The sequence below is a fragment of the Homo sapiens genome, chromosome 3 (assembly GCF_000001405.40).
Source record: "Homo sapiens chromosome 3, GRCh38.p14 Primary Assembly".
NCBI classification, from domain to species: Eukaryota; Metazoa; Chordata; class Mammalia; order Primates; family Hominidae; genus Homo; species Homo sapiens.
Window position 1 is genome coordinate 133,399,392 of NC_000003.12, and position 24,250 is coordinate 133,423,641.

At 48.5% G+C, this 24,250-nt stretch overlaps 1 protein-coding gene across 2 annotated transcripts in view; it reads left to right on the forward strand.

The window, feature by feature from the left end:
• BFSP2 (beaded filament structural protein 2) overlaps nt 665-24,250 on the forward strand; it is a 75,153-nt gene continuing 51,567 nt past the window's right edge. For both annotated transcript variants that reach the window (NM_003571.4, XM_017007315.2), the window contains exon 1: nt 665-1,181. In NM_003571.4, coding sequence (NP_003562.1) covers nt 693-1,181 — 489 coding nt within the window. In that variant the 5' untranslated portion in view covers nt 665-692. The remainder of the gene's footprint in view (nt 1,182-24,250) is intronic.

Genomic DNA, 24,250 nt, shown 5'->3' on the forward strand with positions numbered 1-24,250 from the left:
GCAGCTGATGAACAGCAGAGCATTAGAGGACAGAGATGAGGAGGAAAGGAGAGAGGTGAGGGAAGGACCTGAAGCTGCTGCCAGGACTGAGAGAGGAAACCATAGGCAAGTCTTTTCTCTTGGGTCCCTGGAGCTGCCTCCTGCCATTTTTCATCCTCTATTGCCTGTGTGGACATGTGTTCACATTCACATGTGCCAGCACACATAGGGATGTAGAAAGCCCTGAAATAGCTAGATTGAGTCCTAGCTTGTAATCTGAGGTCTGGGGCAAGTGATCAGTACACTTGTCATCTGAGGTCCTTGAGCCTCAGTTTACTCATCTGTAAAATGGGGTTGCTTGATGCCTGCCTTGCCCACTTAGGTAGTAAAATGCACAAACCCAAATGGTCTACCTCCACAGCCTGCACTGATCCAGCCTCCCCCACCACCAGCAGAATAATCTGGGAGGTTGGGCACATGACCCTGCATCAAAGAATGCATGAGTGCCTCTCTGCACACAGCCCTGGGCAGTGCCCATTTCTCTTTCAGCTCAGTGAATGATGGAAACTCATGGAAGACAGCAGACAAAGCAGCCCCAGGGATAGGGGAGATTCCAGAGAGGCCCGTGACCAGGCCACAGGGATGCTGGGGCTGTAAACCAAAAGCCACTGGACTCTGTAAACCCACTGGGCACCACAGAGGCAGAAGGGGTGATGAGTGAGAGGCGAGTGGTAGTGGACTTGCCCACCAGTGCCAGCTCCAGCATGCCCCTCCAGAGGCGCAGGGCGTCCTTCAGGGGGCCACGGTCATCATCCTCCCTGGAGAGCCCCCCAGCCTCCAGGACCAATGCCATGAGTGGCCTTGTCCGAGCACCCGGGGTCTATGTAGGAACAGCACCCAGTGGGTGCATAGGTGGCTTGGGTGCCCGTGTGACCCGCCGGGCCCTCGGCATCAGCAGTGTCTTCCTTCAGGGCCTGCGGAGCTCAGGCCTGGCCACCGTGCCGGCTCCAGGTTTGGAGAGGGACCATGGTGCTGTTGAGGACCTAGGGGGCTGCCTGGTGGAATATATGGCCAAAGTGCACGCCCTTGAGCAAGTCAGTCAGGAGCTGGAAACACAACTGCGGATGCACCTGGAGAGCAAAGCCACACGCTCGGGAAACTGGGGTGCCCTACGGGCTTCCTGGGCCAGCAGCTGCCAGCAGGTAAGTGTCCAGGCTGTGCCAAGGGCTTTGCAGAGGGCTGGGAGGGGCTGCTGAAGGCAGCGGGTAGGGTTGTGAGTAGGCTGAGGCCAGAGAAACTGACCATAATCCCCTACACTTTCACACTTAAAATGGTAATGATAACAACAATGCTACCTTTTACCGAGGTTTACTAGGAGCCCACGCTAGCCCCCATACGTGCACTACCCACTGTCTTCTTTAAACTTCAAAGAAATGCTATGCAGTGGATCATTCACTGATTGCATTTTTCAGATGAGAAACTGAGGCATGTAATTTGCCCAAGACTTCAAAGCTAGTAGAGGGATGGAGATGAGATTTGAACCTGAATTTTTGTGCCTCCAAAGTTGCATTTGCCCCATTACCCTGGGGCTGCCTCAGTCACCTTTACTGTTGAGAAGGGATTTTTACAGCTATTATCCAATCAAATACCATTGGATGGATGAGGTGTTAAGAACAATGAATAAATGGAGGTGTGTTCCTGTATCCACCTACAACCACGCTGTTCAATAGAAATATGAACTACATTGGTAATTGACAAGTTTCTATTACCCACAGTAAAACACGTAAAAAGAAGCAGGTGAAGTTAATATTATAGCTTATTTAACTCTATATGTCCAGAATGTTATTTCAACATGTAATCAATACAAAATATATTAATGAGGTAATTTACATTCAAGTAGAGCTTTCTGCGTGATGGAAATATTAATATCTTATATCTGCACTGTCCAATCTGGCAGCCACTAGCCATATATGGCTATCAAGCACTTGAAATGTGGCTAATGAGACTGAGGAATTGCATTTTTATTTTATCTAATTTTCATTAATTTAAATGTAAACAGCCACAGGTAGCTAATGGCTATCTTATTGGACAGGGAAGGATGCAGAGGTTTCATCTTTCTCCCTTGCTTGGTCAGCCCTGCTTTTCCCACTCTCCAGGGTGATTTCTGCGGAGTCTGGAGCACATCCATCATGTCTGGCCTGCAGCCTGTAGTTCTAATGCTGGGACTCCAGCCAGCATTACACCTCTCAGCTGGTCTCTCTGTGGATAGCTGGCTTCACCTCTCCTCCTCCTCTTTCTCTCCAGATGCTGGCCTTGGGATCCCTCTGAGCAAAATCAGTCTCTAACCCACCAGGGACTGCCAACTCAGACCCTTGGCCCCCTGGAGTCCAGTATGCAGCCTCCCAAGAGGAGGTCACAAAATTTTATTTGTGTATAGCTGGGGGAAGCTAAGCAGTTGCACACAGGGACTCCCCATTTGCCCCTCCTGCCTCCCACTTCATCCCAGGATGCTTCTCCTGCACTGCTGTCAGTGCCCACTGACAGCACAGAGTGCATGATGAACAGCACCATCCTCTCAGGCTCTCCCCCTGGTGCTGCTGTTCTGCTTGCATCCATCTGGGCTGCAAGGGAGAGCCATCTTAGAACAGTCCAGGGCCTTAACGCCTGTCAAATCTAAGAGGCAGCCATTCCTCCAGGATTCTTCACAACTGTCCTTATTCCAAATATTGTGCCATAACAACCACCAGAACATCCCTAGATACTCCAATATGTCAGCATCTGCTGGACAATCGCTTGCAATCAGATGCCACACAGACTTGTCAGGAGAAATCAGGTATCCCAATGGCTAGGTTAAAAAGTAGGGCCACAAAACTTAGTTTATACTCAATAGATACTGACTTGTTCTGGCTCCAGATAGCTACAAGAGCCTTTGCAACTTACTAACTTCTCTGGGCCTCAGTTTCATTATCTACAAAATGGGTATAACAATGCTTACATATTCCAGCAAATCTGTAGACAAATAAGAGCCTGGCTCCTGCTTACAGGTAGAGTACAGACTAGGAAGCTCTAAAATCCTGTGAGAGCACCACAGCCACACACCAAGACATGCGACCTCTGTAGTTGAGGGTCAGGATCCCACATGGGCTCACTTTCCTCTTAAGTGACTATAAATGAGGGCCTGGGTATGAATAAAGTTCTCTTTTTCTTCTTTTTTAAAAAATCATGGACTTGAAGATAGAGTAAGACCAATTGATAAAATGGAGTTATTATTTCTTTTTTTTTTTTTTTGAGATGGAGTCTCATTCTGTCACCCAGGCTGGAGTGCAGTGGTGCGATCTCAACTCACTGTAACCTCCACCTCCCGGGTTCAAGCAATTCTCCTGCCTCAGCGTCCTGAGTAGCTGGGATTACAGGTGCACGCCACCACGCCCAGCTAATTTTTTTGCATTTTTAATGGAGATGGGGTTTCACCATGTTGGCCAGGCTGGTCTTGATCTCCTGACCTCAGGTGATCCACCCGCCTCTGCCTCCCAGAGTGCTAGGATTACAGGAGTGAGTCACCATGCCCAGCCTGGAGTTACTTTTTCTATATTGCACAGCCCAGCCTTTCAGCCATATTAAACTCTATTCCATCAAGAAGAACAAAAGAAAACTCCATAATTGAGAAATGCTCCTGATTTTTTCAGTGAATCTGGCCTCGTGGAGCTGCAGGAGGCCCCCACCAGGCCCCCACCCCTTTCCAGGCCTAGAGGAAAGGCCACCTCCCAGCCCAGTCCTTCCACAACACGCTGCCTTCATCTCACTTGGGGTCAGAGGCAGCCACTCTGCGGTCCTGGGCCCCAGAAATCCAGAGCTCTCTCCCTCTGCCCTCACTTAGGCCACTCTGGCTGGGGCTTCATGCCCACCTTTCCAGACTCTGGGCTCTGGTGTTCCGTGCTCCTCACAGCACTCCTTACCCCTCCTGTTTCTCCACCTGCAGCTGCCTCTTCCCCCCCTTGTCCACAGAACTCCTCCTGGTCCTGCAGCTCAGTTCCATGGCAACCCTCTGTGACTCCTCAGGGCCCATGCAGGGCCTGAGGCCTCAGAGCAAGCTCTCAGCAACTGAGCCCCAAGTTGGCACCTAGAGAGAAATTCGACCTCCTTAGCCTGGGCCCCAAACAGAGAATCCAAGAGAGACCTCAGTCACTCAATAGCACGGTGGGGATGTCCATTTTGGTGGCACTTTCTTGGATCAGGCTGGAGCAAGCAGTGGGGAAGGTCAGAGCAGGCAACAATTTCCATAAATGTTTGGGAAACAACATTTCCTCTTGCTTTCAGAGGGGGAGAAGAGTTGGAAAGGAGACAGGCTCTCCTCCCTGCCATCACCACCCCAGCTAGCACAGAAAGCTCCTGGGGCCATTCTGGGGAGTGGGGGTCCCCTGTCCCCTGGAATCTCCCCACAGCCTGTCTCACCCCCACCCAGAGGAGACAAAGACAGGTTTTCAGAAAAGCCAGGAAGAGGAGCCAGGAGGAGGGAAACAATTGCTGTCACTGTGCAGAGAGTCACATCATGGAAAGCAACACGAAACTAGGGTGCCAGGAGGGCTCACACCATGGCAGAATCAGGAAGGCCGTCCTGGGGAGGGGGGAATCTTCCTCATCCTTATATCACTATGTAAGTTTGGGGCCAGGGTTGGCTCCATGGGTGCACCACCAGTGAAGTCTCATAGGATGCTGCACTGGAGTGCAGCGATGCCATCAGAGATCACTGCAACCTCAAGCTCCTGGCCTCAAGAGATCCTCTTGCCTTGGCCTCCCAAAGGGCTTGGATTATAGGTATGAGGCACCGTGCCCAGCCAATAGTTTTATCTTTGAATTTGTGTTTTAAAAGTGAAGTCTTGTGGGACAATGGAGTATGGACCAGGGGCTCTTGAATGGTCCTACCTCCCTCTGTCTCCCTACAACAGGTTCTTGGCCCACCTCTCTGCCCCTGGGAGCCCCTTCTGACACCTGCTCCAAGCCCCTGGGTGGCAGCAACTGGAGGGAGAGGACAAGCCTCTTGCTCACCCCCAACCCAGGTACCTACAGGTGGCACTGAGGTCGTAATATTCTTGGGGGTTATCACCCCACCCCACCAGCAGGACATGGTACATCGGTCCAATGGCCGGTAAGAAAGGTACCGCAGCCATTGGTGGGGTATGCACATGCCCAGAATCATGGAGCGAGGCCTCTGGATGCCTATAAAGGTCTGCATGAGCATCCCCATTCCCCAGGGAGTGGAAATTAAATAGCAGATAAAAATTACCATAACAAGTTGAAACATGACAGAAGAAAGGAAAAAGCATTATATTTGAGTAACTTAAATCGCACTTTGTTCCTGCTCTTTGAACATGGGGCCCCACATTTTGCACTGGGATCCGCAAATTATATAGCTGGTCCTAGTTAGGGTTCATGCATATGAAGTTCTGTTTCAATTCCAAACCTCTCTCCTCCCACTCCTCAGCTGTGTTAGAACCTCCAAGCCTCGCTAAGTGGTGAAAACGGACAGAAAAACCCCAGGTGGCAACTACAGAGGCTGAGGAAGACCTGGGCCATTTCCCTCTCCAGCCTTGCTCTGTGCTCCTGACTTTTCTTACCAAATGAACGATGCTGACAATAGGCTCTGATGGCAACATCAGGCCCTTTCATCCTCAAATAGGCCAAACACAAGCTTGGAATAAGGCAGCCTTGTGCCTCGGAGCTGCAGATGAAAGGAGAGTGGGGTCAGAGGAGCAGCCCTCAGAGACCAGGTGTCAAAACAAAAGGAACAGCTGAAGCCAGGGGGAGAATGAAGCTGCCTGAGGAAGAAAGGGGAGCGCAGAGGTTCTAAATTAAGGAGCCAGGACATTTGTCTAGGTCTCCATGGGAGAAAACTGCAGCTTATACCTCCAAAGGATAAGGCTGTCAGCTGGAGAAAATGGGAAATCAAAATTGTTGAAAGGCAAAGGATTAGAGTTTAAAATGGACCTGATTTGACTATTTTTCCTGCTGTTCACAGCCCGTCTTTCTGTCCCTTGCACAGAGACAGCCCATACTCAGGGAATCTGCCTACTTGAAGAACATGCTGGAAACTCAGGCAATCCAGATCTGGGCCAGGTTTCTCCCACAGAACTTGTGGTCCTAGAAGGCTCTCTTTTTAGAAAAAAAAAACAAGAACTAATCCTTCTCCACTGAGAATAAATAAAGGCAACAGGGTTTGTTGTTCATGATTTACAACCTGGTATCCCTGGAAAGTAGGTGATGGGGGCAGAATCATAATCTGCAAAGGCCTGAACACATTTCCCCAAGAAAAAGTCACTCAGCCTGTTTCTTAATCAGTGCAATTTGTTTGGTCAGAGCAGGCCAGTGGGGCGGTTTCTTTGTCAGCCAAGCTATAAGGGACACTACAGTATGGTTAGAAATGTAGCTACCAGAGAAAAGTCCGTTAGAGAGATTCATTCCTCTTAGGAAGAGTGAGGTATATGATTGGAAGAAATATTTTGATGGGAGAGGGGGAGAAGGAGGCATGAGCCTGCTTCCCAAGGGTCTTGTTCATATAATACAGGTGGCCACTAAGCCTCTTTATTTATTTTTATTTATTTATTTTTTGATATGGAGTCTCACTCTGTTGCCCAGGTTGTGGCGCAATCTCGGCTCACTGCAACCTCCGCCTCCCGGGTTTAAGCGATTCTCCTGCCTCAGCCTCCCAAGTAGCTGGGATTACAGGTGCCCACCACCATATCCAGCTATTTTTTTTTTTTTTGTATTTTTAGTAGAGACAGGGTTTCACCATGTTGGCCAGGCTGGTCTCAAACTCCTGACCTCAGGTGATCCACCAGCCTTGGCCTGCCAAAGTATTGGGATCACAGGCGTGAGCCACCGTGCCCAGCCAGTCACTAAGCTGCTTTCTAAGAAAGGTGGTTTCTGGAAGTTGAATGTGTCTGGAAAGCAAGAGAACTGCTAAAGAAAACAGAGGGAGACTAGGGTGTGGCACTCAGGGCCTCTTTCCATGCCCCTCTCATACACCACACTCGGCCACTCTTAAACCTCTTAAGATCTCTTAAAATGTGAGTTCCATGTTGGGAAATGGAAGACAGGGGGTGGGGTCAGTTTTCCATGAAAACTAGGGAAAATTAGATGTGATGCAAAGACTGGGGATTTTGAAGCCAGACAGCCCCTAGCCTTGCCGCTTGCCATCTACCAACCGTGTGATCTTGAGCCAAGGTCTTCATTGATCTCTGCATCTCAGTTTCTCATCTGAATAATGAGGATGATTAGAGACTTCCTTTGACATGATAAAATATCTCTAAGAAGGAAACACTAGGCCTTCCACAGAAATTAAGAATGAGAAAAAGATGCCCGCTCTCTCTCGTTGGTTAGAGGCAGTAGTCAATATGATTAGACAAGAGAAAGTACTTGGTATAAGAATTGGAAAGAAAGAGGGAAAAATTTGGTCTTTCTGGAAATCCCAGAAGGAACAATGTAAAAACTATACGACAAAAAATAAGATGATTTAGTGAAGTAGCACGTTATAAAATAACATCAAAAAGCAATGCTGAGGCTGGGCATGTGGGCAAATGCCTGTAATCCAAGTACATTGTGAGGCCAAGGCAGAAGGATCACTTGAGCCTGGGAGGTTGAGGCTGCAGTGAGCCATGATTCTACAACTGCACTCCAGCCTGGGTGACAGAGCAAGACCCTGTCTCTAAAAGAAAAATAAATAAATAAATGCTGCTGGGCATGGTGGTACAAACCTGTAGTCCCAGGTATTCAAGAGGGTGAAGCAGGGGGATTGCTTGAGCCCAGGAGTTCAAGACCAGCCTGGGCAACAAAGCAAGGGCCATCTCAAAACAAATAACAAACAATGCTATTTATATATAAACAAAAAGATAAAAGAGATGAGAAAATCTTATTTATGATAGCGTAAGATGAATCACCTCTAAACTTCAGAAATGTCCAAAGTCTATATTAGACAACAATCAAATCTATCTGAAACACACAAAATAGTCTTGAACAAATGGAAAGAAACACCATGCACTCAAATAGACTCAATAGCATAAAGATGTCTCTTCTCCCTAAGTTAATGTATCAATTTAATGCAATCCTAATTTTTAAAATTCCATTTTTTTTTCTAGAGTTAGATGAGTTGATTTTAAATTCCCTTTGTAAGAACAGAAAGACAAGAATGGCCAGGAAAGAAAAACTAAGAAAGAGTGGAGGGGAGGAGGCTGGGGAGGGGACCAGCAGCCCCGCCAGACATTAACATATTATAAAGTCTCTGTAATTAAAATAGTTTAGCGTTGGCACAAAAAAGATGAGAAAACCATGGAACAGAATAGAACATTCTATAGTAAGCTCTACTGTGTTTGGAAATTGAGTATTGATGAAGGCAGCATTTGAAACCAATAGAGGGAAGGATGGACTTTTTAATAAGTGATATTCAGACAACTAGATAGTCATAAGGAAAATAATAAAATTAGATCCATTTCTTGCTGTACCCTAGGGTCAGTTCTAAATGTATCCTAGATATAAAATCAAAAATGAAACCATACAAGTAGAAAACATAGGTGAATTCCTTTATAACTTGGATGTGGGAAAAATTTTTCTTGTTACAATTCAAAATACAAAAGCAACAAAGGAAAATATTGATAAATTTGATTAAGAAAAATTTTAAAATGTTGCATTTCAAAATATCACCATAAGCAAAATTAAAAGATAAATGACAAACTAGAAAAAAAAATGCAATGTAGGATACAAAAGGTTAAAATAGCCCTATTTTATACACAGCATTTAAAATTTGAGGTTAAAAAAAGCCGATAGCACTCTTTTATTTTTAAATGTTAGAGATATGAACAGACAGTTGACACAAAAAATAGATGAAAATGGCTCCTAATGTCTCAACTGCACTCATAATAAGAGAAATTTTTAAAATCTACCTGAGATACCACTTTTACCTATCCAATTAGCAAAACTCTAAAAGTATGTCAAACTATTTGTTGGTGAAGCTCTAGGGAAACAGGCAAGTTTATACAGTGTTGATGGGAATAGAAAATGTTACAACCCCTATGGAGAAAAATTTGGCAACATCTAGACAAATTATATAGGCATTTATGTATACATAATTTGACCCAGCAGTCCTGTTTCTAGGACACACTCCCAATGACACACTGGCAAAAATATGAACAAGAAGTATGTACAAAGCTGTTCACTGCAATCCTATCTGTAATACCAAAATACTGGAAAAATCCAAATACCTCCCAGGAGGGGACTCGTTGAATAAACCATGATGCATCTGCAAAGGAACAAGAAATCGCTCTATAGCTACTATGGAGTGATGATCTCCAGGATATGTTATTGAGCTAAAAGGCAAGATGGAAAGAGTGTGTATTTCATTCTACCATCTAGCTAAGAAAAGGGAAGGATATGAATATATACATACATATGTGTTTACATTGAAAAAATGGAATAAAACAAACCATAAGTATTTTTAAATGTTACTTATAGGAGGGTGGAGGGGAAAAAGTAGCAGGGAAAGGTAGGGCACTAGAGTTCTTCTAATTTATCTTGTTATGTGGAGATGACTTTGGAACCATGAAAATATTTTACAGAATTGTATAACAAAAATAGATTTCAGAAAGCCAATTCTAAGAATCAAAAATAAAAAGAAACAAATGAATCCAGCTATGTACCAAGTTGATAGCATAGTCACACGAAGAAGAACTATTCCAAGTGGCTTTTTAAACCACAGGAATTTAACTGTACATTCCTAGTGGAGATGCAAAAGACAACAGAAAAAAACCCAACAATTTTTCAGTAATCACATTGGTGGTGGTAGCACTGGCACTGTTATTCTGACACTGGTGTGTGTGTGTGTGTGTGTGTGTGTGTGTACTGTGGGACAGAGTAAGAGAGTAACTATATTTGTGTTATTGAAAACTGAGACTTGAATGTGAGTGAAAGGAGATACAGTTGTAAGATGCATGACGTTTAGTGACAATTCTTTAGTCTTGAATTTAAATCAGAATTATCAATATAAAGTCATGATATATGTGATCATGAAAATAAATATATGCCTATTTCCAAGTCTGACCACTGAAAAGATCTAGAAGCAATGGCCAACTTAGCGACAATGAACATTTTTAGCCTCAGATTTGGGTCTCTAACAACCATCTTTCACTAAAAGAATGGGGGGCTCCTTGTAGAAATGGCTGAATCCAGGTTCGAGGATAGGAAATATTCAAGACGAGTCTGAAACACCTTGTCATACCAGAAAGCAAGGACGCTATGAAAAACTACTACAGTCATGTCAGAAGACTTAGGAGTCAATTCAAAGAAGCTCCCACTAACCAAAGATGGTTGGGAATCAATAAGAATATTATCAGGGCTTCCAGTAAGGTGAACAAGAAGACATCCATGTGCTGGGAGGGTGGCTACCCCAACTCCATGGGGACAGAACTCCTGTGCTCAGGACTCTTCTACACCTCATGCTGTGGAATCTAAAGCAACAGCAAAGCTGAGGTCCAACTGCCATAAGGATGGACACCAAGGAGGCTGCACTGGGGAGAAAAAGAAGTCAAGATAAGCAACATGAACCATAAAGCCCGGACCGTGGCGGGTATGAAAGAACAAGAAAGGCGGGATCAGGAAATTCAACAGGACGAAGTTGCCTTCCCACCTAGCTCTCTTCTCTTTGCTGAGCCATACAAAACTACTAGCAAGGAAGATAAGTTATCGAGTTGTATCCAGAGTAGGCTTGGAAACTATGGTGAAATGAAAGATTTTATAGGAGACAAATCTATACCAAGGCTTATTGCAGTTTCCAAGCCTACGGTACCACCTATAACAGATGAAAATGGACCCCAGTAGGACCTCTGCACCCAGCATTTCTGTCCCAGAAACAGTCCTCAGGCTTACAGAGTGGACATAGTAGCCAGTAGACCGGTGCAGGTGGCAGCAGTGGCACTAACAGTCGTGGCCAGAGACATGACTGTGACTCACATAGCAGTAGTGGGAGCAGAAGACCAGAGAAAAATGTCAGCATGGATCACAGCACTCCAAGCCGCGCTCTTCCAGCCCTGGGAAACCCCAGGCTGTCTCTTCGTTAAGCTCCAGTCATTCCAGCTCTCATGGGAATGATCAGCATAGCAAGGAATATCAGCGCTCCAAATCACCTGGGGACCCTAATGCAAACGGGGATTCTCCCTCTCACGTATCTTTTCCAAGTGGGCAGCACTCAAATCAGTCTTTCCCACCTTCGTTGATGTCAAAGTTCAGTTCAATGTTACAGAAACCTATTGCCTGTGTGCAGCCCGTGGGCGGACAGGAGTCCGTGGGCGGACAGGAGTCTGTGGAACCAGAGCTGTCCTCTGAGCGCTACAGTAGCCAATCCCATGGTGACAGCACAAATGAGCTGCAGCCCAGCAGCAAAGCACATCTCGCCAGGCTGAAAATACCTTTCTAACCGCTGGACCTAAGTCACACATTCAGAGCTTTTAATATTGTGACTATGTGAAGCAATTGAACATGAAATTCTGATTGAACTTGAACTGCCTTTTTGCCTTAATAGTAAAGAATGTAAAAGTTTAGAGATGTTTTAAAGTTTAAAGAAAGACTTGTGAGCCACTTCCAAGTGAATCCATAGAGACCTGTTAGCTCCCCTCTTGGGAAATAGACAAAATGTCATTTACAGTTTTCAAATATTAAAGTAAGTCAGTTATAGAATAAAAGCATGATCCATCAATTTTTAAAAGAATATTATTAAGAACATTAACTGCAATAGATTGAAATCCATCAAATATGTCAGTATAACACCGAAAAAAAAAAAAAAAAAAACTAATTAATCACCTTTGGAGCCCACTGAGGAACCAACTCATTTTTAAAACTGGTAAATAATGAGAGAAAATAAAGCATTTTCCTGCCTTTCTTATAAGACCTATAGGTATATCCAGTAAGAAAAATAAATAAAGAGAGGAATTATCTTTTTATAGATGTATTCCAGCTAATAAAGAAAAATAATAGAATTATTAATTTTATTTATATCTATAATAAAACAATGGCTCTAGGCAATAACAATAATCAAATGGCTATGACCTTCACAAAATGCGACCAGCAGCCGTTCTGCATCTCCTGGTGGAGTACACATCACCACCTATGAAGTAGTCTTGCAAACAAACAAAAAACCTGAATATGATTAAGCCTCAAGATAAAACTACTAATTTACAGAAAAGAAGGGGGTCAGATGAACGGGTTAATTCTATAGTAAGCTCTACTGTGTCTGGAAATTTAGTTTTAATAAAGGCAGCACTTGAAGCCAATAGAGGGAAGGGTGGACTTTTTAATAAGTGATATTTAGACAACTAGACAGTCATAAGGAAAATAATAAAAGTATTATTATAGAGATGAAACCAGCAAAATCCAAACTCTGGGAAACTATAAGACAAAAGACCCAATTTTTTAACAAATAAAAATTGCAAGGGAAAGAAGCAAGATGGTAAGAGAAATCTATACAGTAAAAGAGACTAAATTAACATATCAGCCCATCAAAATGGGCTTTATTTGGATCACTATCCAAACAATTAAAAAATATATTAGACACGAGAAAAGATAAACACTATTTGATAATTGAGAAAGTATTACGAAAGTATTATTAATTTTTAGACGTGATCATCGTTGTGAAGTCATGTGTTCTTTTTAAAGCATTCTTATAATTTGCCAGTACAGGCTGAAATATTTGAAGAAGAAATAATATGATGTCTGGGATTTGTTGAAAATAATCTCAGGCAGAGTGGCAAGACGTGTGGGCACAAGTAAAACAAAATAGGCCACGTGCTTATAATCAAGGAAGCTGGGTGATGCATATATGGGGGTCCACTATAACAGATTTCTTGTGACTGACATTTGAAATTTTTGTAAAAATGCAGCTAGAAGACCTACCTCATCGGGTTGGTGCAGGAATGTAAATGAAATGATGTGTGTAAATCGCCTGGCACATAATCAATGCTTTAAGTTTGTGGAATTGAATAAACTTGAAGACATACATTAAGTGAGCAGTAACACAAACAGCTGCTTACATGAGCGCGTTGATCAACCGACATACGCTGTGGGAGTTTCCAGAAAGAGCAGGGTATTGATTAGTTCTCAGCAAGGGTGCCCCAGGAAGTGGGGACTGAATGTGGGTCCCAAGGAAGATGCCAGAAGATGGCCCTTCAGAGCGGGGCCCCGCGTGGACCAAGGTGGGAGCCGGGCATGGCGTCCTCAGGGCAGTCTGGGTGCCGGGCAGGCCTCCTACCAAGCGCCAGCTCTGCCGGGGCCACTGCTCTGTCTCCCTCCCTCTCCACTTCCAGAGCCTGGCACAGGGAGGCATACCTCGACACACAGCGGGTGTTCAAGAAACGGCCGGTGGTGAAAGGTGAATGTGGAACCAGACAGGCTCCAGGTTTCAATTCAGAACTCCAGCTCAGGGGTTCTCTGAAATTCCAGACCAGCAGTGAGACAGGAAGCGGCTGCAATGTCTGACACAGAGAAACAACGCAGCAGAATCCTCTGCCGCTGTGAGAAGAGAACCAGGATGCTGGTTAGATACTGACGTGGAGCTGGCGCCAGAATGTATCTGAGTAACCACGTCTGTGCTCTGCTACTATTTCTGTTTCTTAGAAAGTGGAGGGCAGACCCTCTCTGGAAGCACACATAGGGGCTGCGGACAGTGGAGGCTTCTGGTGAGAGGGCTGGGGCTGGAGACAGGGCAGGAGCAGGCTTACTTTGGGGTATATACTCTTTGACACTGTTTGGAGGTTTTACCTTAAATAAAATATGCAGTAATAAATAAAAGTCCTGTCAGTGGCTTTTGGGGTGGGGGAAGCAGTAATTCCTATCAGGTCTTGGGGCAGGGGAAGCCTTCAGAACTCCACGGAAGCAAGAGAACCTTTCTACTGACGTGTCCCGGTGGGAGAGAAGACCCATCTCCACAGCTCCTCTCAAAACAAACCCAGCCAAATTAAACAAGCGTACAGAAGAGCAATAGGAAAGATGTTCTAAAGGGCTACACTCTCCAGAAGAGCTAAATTAAAACTAATCCAGGCAGCTGGCACAAGTGCTGAGGACAAATGTGGTGGCTTTTTACGGGGGAATTAGTGAAAGAATGGCTGAACCAAGCAGAATGTTACTCAGGGTCCCCAGCGCTCTCCCAGAGGGTTTATGCTGATCCACCGAATTTGAGGACTCAATTTAGGCAAATAAAACCTAGTTTATTGTCGTCTGGCTGGGGAAAAGCACATAAAGACTCATTGATCTGGTTGTAAACGAGCTAGTAGAGCTGGCTGTCACAAGTGCATTATTCAGCAGAAACGAGAAGTGATTTCAGCAGTCCTCAGGAGGGAGTGAATGCAGGGCACAGGAGTGGAAATCTCCACCACCAAACTGACCACCACTGGAAAACAACTTGTCCTTTTTAGTTACATGTTTATTGCAGGACCAACGAATAACCATCTAAATAAGCGCTAACTAAATAACACTACAGTGTGGAAGTTAGAAAGCCCCCGCATTTCAGCAGGCTCTGGGAAAAATTATGCAGAAGACAAAGTCCCCTGCTGAATGTAACTGCCCACGCCTGCCTGGCCCCTGTACTCACGCCCTACTCATCCCTGTCCGCTCCCGTCTACTCACCCCTGCCCTCTCTCCCCTACTCACCCCTCTACTCACCCCTGCCCTCTCCCCTCCACAAACCCCTCTACTCCCCCCATCCTCTCCCCTCTACTCACCCCGTCCTCTCACCTTACTCACCCCTGCCCTTTCCCCTCTACTCACCCCTGCCCTCTCTCCCCTACTCATCCCTCTACTCACCCCTGCCCTCTCCCCTCCACAAAACCCAGTACTCACCCCTGTCCTGTCCCCCCTACTCACCCCGTCCTCTCACCTTACTCACCCCTGCCCTCTCTCCCCTACTCACCCCTCTACTCACCCCTGCTCTCTCCCCTCCACAAACCCCTCTACTCACCCGTCCTCTCCCCTCTACTTACCCCTGCCGTCTCTACTCACCCCTACCCTCTCCCCTCTACTTACCCCTATACTCACCCCTGCCCTCTCCCCTCTACTCACCCCTGCCCTCTCTCCTCTACTCACCCCTGCTCTCTCCCCTCTACTCACCCCTCTACCTGCCCCTGCCCTCTCCCTTCTACTCACCCCTCTACTCACCCCTGCCCTCTCCCCTCTCCTCTCTACTCAGCCCTGTCCTCTCCCCTCTACTTATACCTGCCATCTCGTCTCTACTCACCCCTCTACTCACCGCTGTCTCACTCCCCTCTACTCACTCCTCTACTCACCCTGCCATCTCTGCTCTACTCACCACTGCCCTATCCCCTCTACTTACCCCTGCCATTTCCCCTCTACTCACCCCTATTCTCTCCCCTCTACTCACCCTGCCACCCCCCCCCCGCTTACCCCTCTACTCACTCCTACCACGTCTGCTCTATTCACCCCTGCCCTCTTCCATCTACTCACACCTGCCCTCTCCCCTCTACTCATCCCTGTCCTCTCCCCACTACTCACTCCTGCCCTGTCCCCTCTGCTCACCCCTCTACTCACCCTGCCATCTCCCCTCTACTCACCCCTGCCATCTCTCCTCTACTCACCCTTGTCCTCTCTCCTCTACTCACCCCCCTACTCATCCCTGCCCTCTCCCTTCTATTCACTCCTGTCCTCTCCCCTCTACTTGCCCCAGTCCTCTCCCCTCTACTCAGCCCTGCCTCCTCTGTTCTACTTACCCCTCTACTCAACCCTGCCCTCTCCCCCGTCCTCTCCCCATCCTCTCCCCTCTACTCAACTCTGTCCTCTCCCCTCTACTCACCTTTGCCCTCTCCCCTCACCTCTGTCCTCTCCCCTCTACTCACCCCTGCCCCCTCTGCTCTACTCACCCCTCTACTCACCCTTGCCCTCTCCCCTCTACTCGCCCCTGTCCTTTCCCCTCTACTCACCCGTGTCCTCTCCCCTCTACTCACCCCTCTACTCAACCCTGCCCTCTCCCCTCCACAAACCCCTCTACTCACCCCTGTCCTCTCCCCTCTACTCAACCCTGTCCTCTCCTCTCTACTCACTCCTGTCCTCTCCCCTCTACTCACCCCTATAGTCACCCCTGCCCTCTCCCTATTCACCCCGTCCTCTCCCCTCTACTCAGCCATGTTCTCTCCCCTCTACTCACCCCTGCCCCCTCCGCTCTACTCACCCCTGCCCCCTCCGCTCTACTCACCCCTCTACTCATCCCTGCCCTCTCCCCTCTACTTACCCGTCATCTCCCCTCTACTCACACCTGCCATTTCCCCTCTACTCACCCCTCTACTCACCCCTGTCCTCTCCCCTCTACTCATCCCTCTATGCACCCTGCCATCTCCCCTCTATTCATCCCTGCCATCTCCCCTCCACTTACCCTTCTACTGACTCCTACCACCTCCCCTCTATTCACCCCTGCCCTCTTCCCTCTACTCACCCCTGCCCTCTCCCCTCTACTCACCCTCGCCCTCTTCTCTACTCACGCTTGCCCTCTCCCCTCTACTCACCTCTGTACTCAGCCCTGCCATCTCCCCTCTACTCGCCTGACCTCTCCCCTCTGCTCACCCGTCTACTCACCCCTGCCCTCTCCCTTCTATTCACCCCGTCCTCTCCCCTCTACTCACCCCTGTCCTCTCCTCTCTACTCATCCCTCTACACACCCTGCCATCTTCCCTCTACTCACCCCTGCTATGTCCCATCTACTCACCCGTTCTCTCACTCTACTCACCCCTGCCCTCCCCCTTCACCACTGTCCTCTCCCCTCTAGTCAGCCCTGTTCTCTCCCCTTTACTCACCCCTGCCCCCTCCGCTCTACTCACCCCTCTACTCAACCCTGCCCTCTCCCCTGTCCTCTCTCCTCTACTCACCCCTGTCCTCTGCCCTCTACTCAACTCTGTCCTCTCCCCTCTACTCACCCGTCCTCTCCCTTCTCCTCACCCCTGTCCTGTCCCCTCTACTCATGCCTGCCCTCTCCCCTCTACTCACCCCTGCCCTTTCCCCTCTACTCTCCCCTATACTCAACCCTGTCGTCTCCCCTCTACTCATGCCTGCTATCTCCCATCTACTCACCACTCTACTCATCCCTGTCCTGTGTCTGCCCTCTACTGACCCCTGTTCTCTCCCCTCTACTCATCCCTCTATACACCCTGCCATCTCCCCTCTACTAACCCCTTCCATCTCCCCTATACTCACCCCTGCCATCTCCCCTCTACTCACCCCTGTCCTCTCCCTTCTACTCACCTCTGTCCTCTCCCCTCTACTCACCCTTGCCCTCTCCCCTCTACTGACCCCTCTACTCTCCCCATCCTCTCCCCTCTACTCACCCTTGCCCTCTCACCTCTACTCACCCCTTTACTTGCCCCTACACTCTCCCTTCTACTCACCCCTGCCCTCTCCCTTCTATTCACCCCTGTCCTCTCCCCTCTACTCAGCCCTGTTCTCTCCCCTTTACTCACCCCGCCCCCTCTGCTCTACTCATCCCTCTACTCATCCCTGCCCTCTCCCCTCTACTCACCCGTCCTCTGCCCTCTACTCACCCCGTCCTCTCCCCTCTACTCACCCTCTATGCACCCTGCTGTCTCCCCTCTACTCACCTCTGCCCTCTCTCCTCTACTCACCCCTCTACTCCTTCCTGCCATCTCCCCTCAACTCATCCCTGCCCTCTCCCTTCTACTCAGCCCTGCCCTCTCCCCTCTACTCACCCCTGCCTTCTCCCCTCTACTTACCCCTGCCCTCTCCCCTCTCTCATCTCTCTACTCACCCCTGCCATCTCTCCTCTATCCACCCCTCTAGTCACCCCGCCTCTCCCCTCTACTTACCCGTGTCCTCTCCCCTCTACTTACCCGTGTCCTCTCCCCTCTACTCACCCTTGCCCTCTCCCTTCTGCTCACCCCTGTCCTCACCCCTCTACTCGGCCCTGCCATCTCCCCTCCACTCACCCCGTTCTCTCCCCTCTACTCACCCTGCCCTCTCCCCTCTACGTACCCCTGCCATCTCCCCTCTACTCACCCCACCCTCTCCCTTCTACTCACCCTCATCCTCTCCTCTCTACTCACCCCTACCCTCTCCCCTCTACTCACCCCTGCCCTCTCCCCTCTACTCATCCCTTCCCTCGCTCCCATCTCCCCTCTACTCATCCCTTCCCTCTCCCTTCTACTCTCCTCTCTACTCACCCCTGCCATCTCCCCTCTACTCACTCCTCTACTCACTCCTGCCATTTCCCGTCTACTCACCCTTGTCCTCTTCCCTCTACTCACCCCTGCCCTCTCCTCTCTACTCAACCCTGTCCTCTTCCCTCTACTCACCCCTGCCATCTCCCCTCTACTCACCCGTCCTCTCCCCTCTACTCACCTCTGTCACCTCTCCTCTATTCACCCCTCTACTAGACCCTATCCTCTCCATTTTACTCACCCCTGCCCTCTCCTCTCTACTCACCCGTCCTCTCCCCTCTACTCACCTCTGTCCTCTCCCCTCTACTCACCTCTGTCCTCTCCCCTCTACTCACCCCTGCCATCTCCCCTCTACTCACCCGTCCTCTCCCCTCTACTCACCTCTGTCATCTCCCCTCTATTCACCCCTCTACTAGACCCTATCCTCTCCATTCTACTCACCCCTGTCCTCTCCCCTCTACTCATCCCTATCCTCTCCCCTCTACTCACCCCTCTAGTCCCCCATGCCCTCTCGCCTTAACTCACCCCTGCCCTCTACCTTCTACTCACCCCTGTCCTCTCCCCTCTACTCACCCCTGTTCTCTCCCCTCTCTTCCCACCTCCTCAGCTCCTACTGCTAGCCCTACTGCCCAGAGTACTTCCAGGTACCATTCCCAGCTTTCAACTTTACTTCATTTTCATCATCTTCATTCCCACCCCCCAGGTAACCTTTCTCCAGCTCTGAGGAGAAAGGTTAGGTGATGGAGAGATTTATTATCACTCACCCACCAGGGAAACACGGGCCTTGTTTTGTTCATCTGCGCAATGAAGATGAAACCATTGCTCTCACATGAGGAGTAACTGGGACAAGGAGGAGAAGCCCCGGGAGGTCACGGGAGTTCACTGGGTGTGGGTACCCAGCGTCCCTGAGGAGATTGCCTGGGAAATGAGGCGCTCATGGCAGCATCCAGCCCACCCAGGCCAGGAACGTCTCCAGGGACAGCCTTGGGTAGGCCCCTGAATTCCTGGGTGCAGTTGGCCCAGATCCAGCCACCCCCCGGAATGGGCACAGGCACTCTGGGAGTTCTCTGGGTTCATCTTCTGTGAGGCATGTCCCTGCTCAATCCCACCAGCCAAAGACCACTGAGAACATACCTATGTTTTTCCTAACAAAATCATGTTCCTTCCCTAACAAAATCATTTACTTCCGTAAGACTCATGAGGATAAAACCATCCACAGTCTTCACTGAACTGCAGGCCTCTGATATGACCCTTGTGTTGCGTGACGTCTGCAAACGTTAACAAGAACTTTCACTCTCTGTCTTAATTTGGGCCTCTCCATAACATACGGGGCTACCTAGGAAGATGGGATTATGTGCAGTGTATTTGTCACCTTGGGCTGCCAGAACAAAGGCCCATGGACTGTCTTCAACAACAGAAAGGCATTTTCTCCCTATTCTGGAGGCCAGAAGTCCAAGATCAAGGTGTCAGCAGGATTGTTTCTTCTGAGGCCTCTCTCCTTGGCTCATGGAAGGGCATCTTCACCCCGTGTCCTCACACAGGCTTCCCTCTGTACATCTGTGTCCAAACTTCCTCTTCTCAGAAGGGCACCAGGCATCTTGGAGTAGGGCCCACCGTCAGGACCTCATTTTAACCGAATTACCTCTTTAAAGACCCTTTCTCCAAATACAGTCACATTCTGGGGTACTGGGCCTTAGGATTTCAGCACAGGAATTTGGGGGAGGAAGGACACGATTCAGCCCGTAATACCCATTTTACAGATAAAGAAACTGAGGCCACAGTTAGTGTTCCAGCCAGGATCAATTCAGTGTTGTTTCTACCCCTAAAATACTGTTTAAAAACTTCCTGTCACATTCATCTATAAGGCCCGAGTTAGTCCTGTCCCAGAACCCTGAAGGGTAGGCGGGCCCACAGTCTATGTAGAGTGCCCGTTTGATAAGATAGAGCTATAGTCGACACAGGCCCCACTCTGTGAGTTCAGACTTTGGGATGTGCCTCTTTTTCTGTCCTTCTCTGCCTCTTTTAATTTGGAAGAAACTGTCAGAAAGGGTGATTGATCCTTCTGCAAGCACATCTCTAACTGGAACTAACTGCTTTAACCAGGACGCATGAGGCTGGGCGGCTTCCGACCCATCAGATGGCTCAGAACTGAGACTTGCAAGTTTAATAGCTTTGCTGCTGGGGAATAGCACAGCCCTCCTCGGGATTTCTCATTGTCTTTTTCAGTGATTTTAATACTCAGAAAAATGTGCTGAGCAGTCAGCACTCAAGGCAGAATGACTTTATCTGAGTAGAGTTCAGAGACGCCCCATGGTGTGTGGCTCCGGCTCCGCCAAACCACTCCGCCACAGGAGGTGAGCACCTGCTCGGGTGGGCGAGGCCTGGCATGAGGGATTTCCACAGACTGCTGGGACCCCTGCCCCCGACAGGGGCGATCACCTCTCACCACCACCTAGCCCAGTGGTAGGGGCCAAGATGCCAGTCTCCACGGAGTGAGGCACGGCTCTGTTAAATCCCACCAGCCAAAGACCCCTGAGCACATACTCATAGGTGGAAAGAGTGTATTAGCATGCCGCAGCAACAGAAAAATGTACCAGGAGAACCCGGGACATCTCAGGAAAAGGGAGTTGGGAGGGGCTTGTTATGAGGTTTAGGCCTGTGTTAGGTTGTTGGGGAAAGGTTTAAGAAAGGCTTGTTCTGCATTTGATGCTGTCAGGAAGTAGGGGCAGTTTGATGATTGGGGATCTTAATAATCTTTACACAAGAGGTAGAAGGAATGAAGCAGGCATAGAGCTGCTGTTAGTAAAGAAGCAGCAGTCATCACTCGAATCAGCTGGAAGAGGGGATGTTGAGTTTTTGTGGTTGCAGAGCGTCCTTGCCTCTCTGTCCAGATAGAATCACCGCGTGCCCTTGTCTCCATCTCCTTCCACCATGATCACAGAGTGAGCTGGTCTGATTATTGCTGATATTCTGTAAACGCTCGTGCATAGGTGAGAATACTCTGGTCTAGCTGTCAGCTGCCAACGGTCAGGGCCATGGTTTTCCTTCCTTACAGCAAGCAGGCATCCTCAGCCTCCTCCTCCACAGTAGTGGGAGGACCACGGAGTCAGAACGGAGGTGCAAGCGACCTCTCTTCTCACGTGTCCTGTGCAGCCCCTGTGAGGCTGGGGGCTGAGAGGTAATTGTTTGGGCTGTGCTGTGACTTTAGGAGCAGGGCCCACTCTGTGCCTCTCACGTGCTGAGCAGAGTGTGTCCCTGGAATCCACACTCCTACCTGTCTCACCCATCTCTCCCCCAGAGTCTATCTTGGCAGTCCTGCATCTATGCAATCAACTGAGTTAGAACATAGCAAGTCCAGCTGACTCCTTCCCACAAGAGAGGCCCTGGCCCTGTTACTAACCCCTAAGAGTCCATTTCCTTATCTACACATTAAGGGAGAATAATCCCTGTTTCATAGGATTGCTGTGGGGATGCTGGCTGGAGATAATGCATGTAAACTAGAAAGTATGCGTCGGGAAGGGAGGAACCTGTCCTCTCTGGCTCCTGCTGTTTCTCTATCACCCAGGATGGCGGCCAGCACATAGATGCATGATAAATATTGGTTAAATCAACAAATGGAAGTGCCCCACAAAGTAATCAGTTAATAAGAGGCAGCTATGTTGGTTTCCCAGGGCTACCATAACAAAGGATTACAAACTGGGTGGCTTAAAACAACAGAAAGCTATTCTCTCACAGGCCTGGAGACTAGAGGCTGGAAACCAAGATGTTAGCAGGGGCAGCTCCTTGTGAGGACTGTGGGAGAGAATCGGTCCCAGGCTGCTCTCCCAGCTCTGGTGATGGCGGGCAATCCTTGGCCTTCCTTGGCCCGTAGATGCATCACCCCCATCTCTACCTTCATTCTTCCATATGTCTGTGTCCAAATTTTCCTCTTTTCATAAGGATGCCAGTTACATTAGATGAGAGCCTACCCTAATGACCTCAACTTGATGACATCTGTAAAGATCTTATTTCCAAAAAAAAGGTCACCTTCACAGGTACTGGGGGTCAGGACTGCAACTTATCTTTTGGATGGTACACAATTGAATCCATAACACTGGCTATTGTTCTTTTCACATTATAGTCCTGATTCCCAACATTTTGTCCTGTTTTGTCAACTGTCATTTAAAAATGTTGCAGAAATATCAGTATTTCTGCACCTAACCCATTTCATCCTCTCTTCCTTTTGTACTTGAAATTAAATTCCACATCCTGGCTGGGCGTGGTGGCTCACGCCCGTAATCCCAGCACTTTGGGAGGCCAAGGCGGGTGGATCACAAGGTCAAGAGATCAAGACCATCCTGGCCTACGTGGTGAAAACCCGCCTCTACTAAAAATACAAAAATTAGCTGGGTGTGGTGGTGCGCACCTATAGTCCCAGCTACTCGGGAGGCTGAGGCAGGAAAATTGCTTGAAACCGGGAGGCAGAGGTTGCAGTGAGCCAAGATAGCGCCACTGCACTCCAGCCTGGCAACAAAGCGAGACTCCATCTCAAAAAAAAAAAAAAAAAAAAATCCACCACATCCTATCAAACTACTTGGGCTATTGGGGTCCAGAAAGGAAAGCTGTACAGAGAGTCCAAGAGAATGCTGTTCATATAGTAGAAACACAGTAAATGCCACTAAGCTGCTGTGTGACCTTGGACAAGTTACTCCACCTCTCTCAGCCTCAGTTTTCTTAACTGTTAGATAAAGGCATTGGATCTCACTGACATCTCCCTGCACACACACAGGGAATAGGCAAGATTCCCTTTTAGAATTCTGGTAGGTAGATGAGATGGATCGTTTCCCTGGACATGCAGAAACCTGGTGCCACTGACTCCTACCTCTCTCTTCACTTCTGTGTACCCTGAGATGAAGCCCTCTCCCTCTGAGGCTCCTCATCTGTAAAATCAGAGGGTGGAATGTTCTGATCTCCCAAGCCCGCAGCCATAGAGGAGGCTGTCACTGCTCCCCATCATCTCTGAGCAGTGGATGAAGCCTATAGAAGAGAGGCAGCCTCCGATGAGCTCATTGTCCCCATTCTTTGGTTGGCTGGCTGGAAATGGGAATGTTCAGTACATTTTGGGCACCTCCTTCATTCCTGAGGCTCAGGTGGTAGCCTATGCCCCAACATTAATGAAGCAGCAGTTATATTACCCCCAGCCCAGCACCTGCCAGAATATAGCCCAGGTGTTGCCAAATAGCAGGGTAGGGAGAAACTGTCCGGACAGGGGGGTTGCCGAGAGACAGCAAAGCCAACGCCTCACCCAAGTTCACAAAAGCCCAGATTAAACCAATGAACAGCTGGAATTTCTAACTTGGACAGCCCCAGGATTGTGCCTGCCTATACCTGGTACTGAATACGTGAGCCTTCTTGCTCCTTCTTGGACACACCCTGTCATGGTTCCAGATACCCACTGCTGTGATTTTGAGCTTCTTTGTTACACTGAAAATCCTAAGAGCAGAGGTATAGTCTGATTATTTCTGAACCTAAAACCTAGCACAATGCCAGGCACAAAGAAAGAAGAGAAGGAAGTCAGGAAGGCAATAAGGAAAGTAGGAAGGATGGAAGAGGAAGGAAGAAAGGGAGGGAGGGAAAGAGGGAGACTGCAACAGAATATCACAGTGGCTAATGGTGCAAGCCGTAAAGTGCAAAAGAACTGAGTTCAAACTCTGGTTTTGCCATTGACTGGCTTTGTGACCCAAGGCAAATCGCTTAACCTCTCTGAATTCCAACGTCCTGTACTATTCACTCCACCGGGTTGTTGTGGGAATTAAATAATTCACTTAGAACACTTAGCATAGTGCTTGCCCATGGTAAGCATTCGGCAAACTGTGGTAGTAATCTGCGTCATCATTTATAGTACTTAAAACAATAATAACCGCATGGACTACACAGCCCTCTGACATCACCTGCCCAGCCAACTTTTCCGTACTTTGGGGGCGGGCGGTGGGGTGGTGGGGGAGGCGGCGGGGGCGGGGGTAGGAATGAGCATTTGCACAACGTTACACAGGGATGGTCCCGCTGACTCAGGAGCATTCCACTTT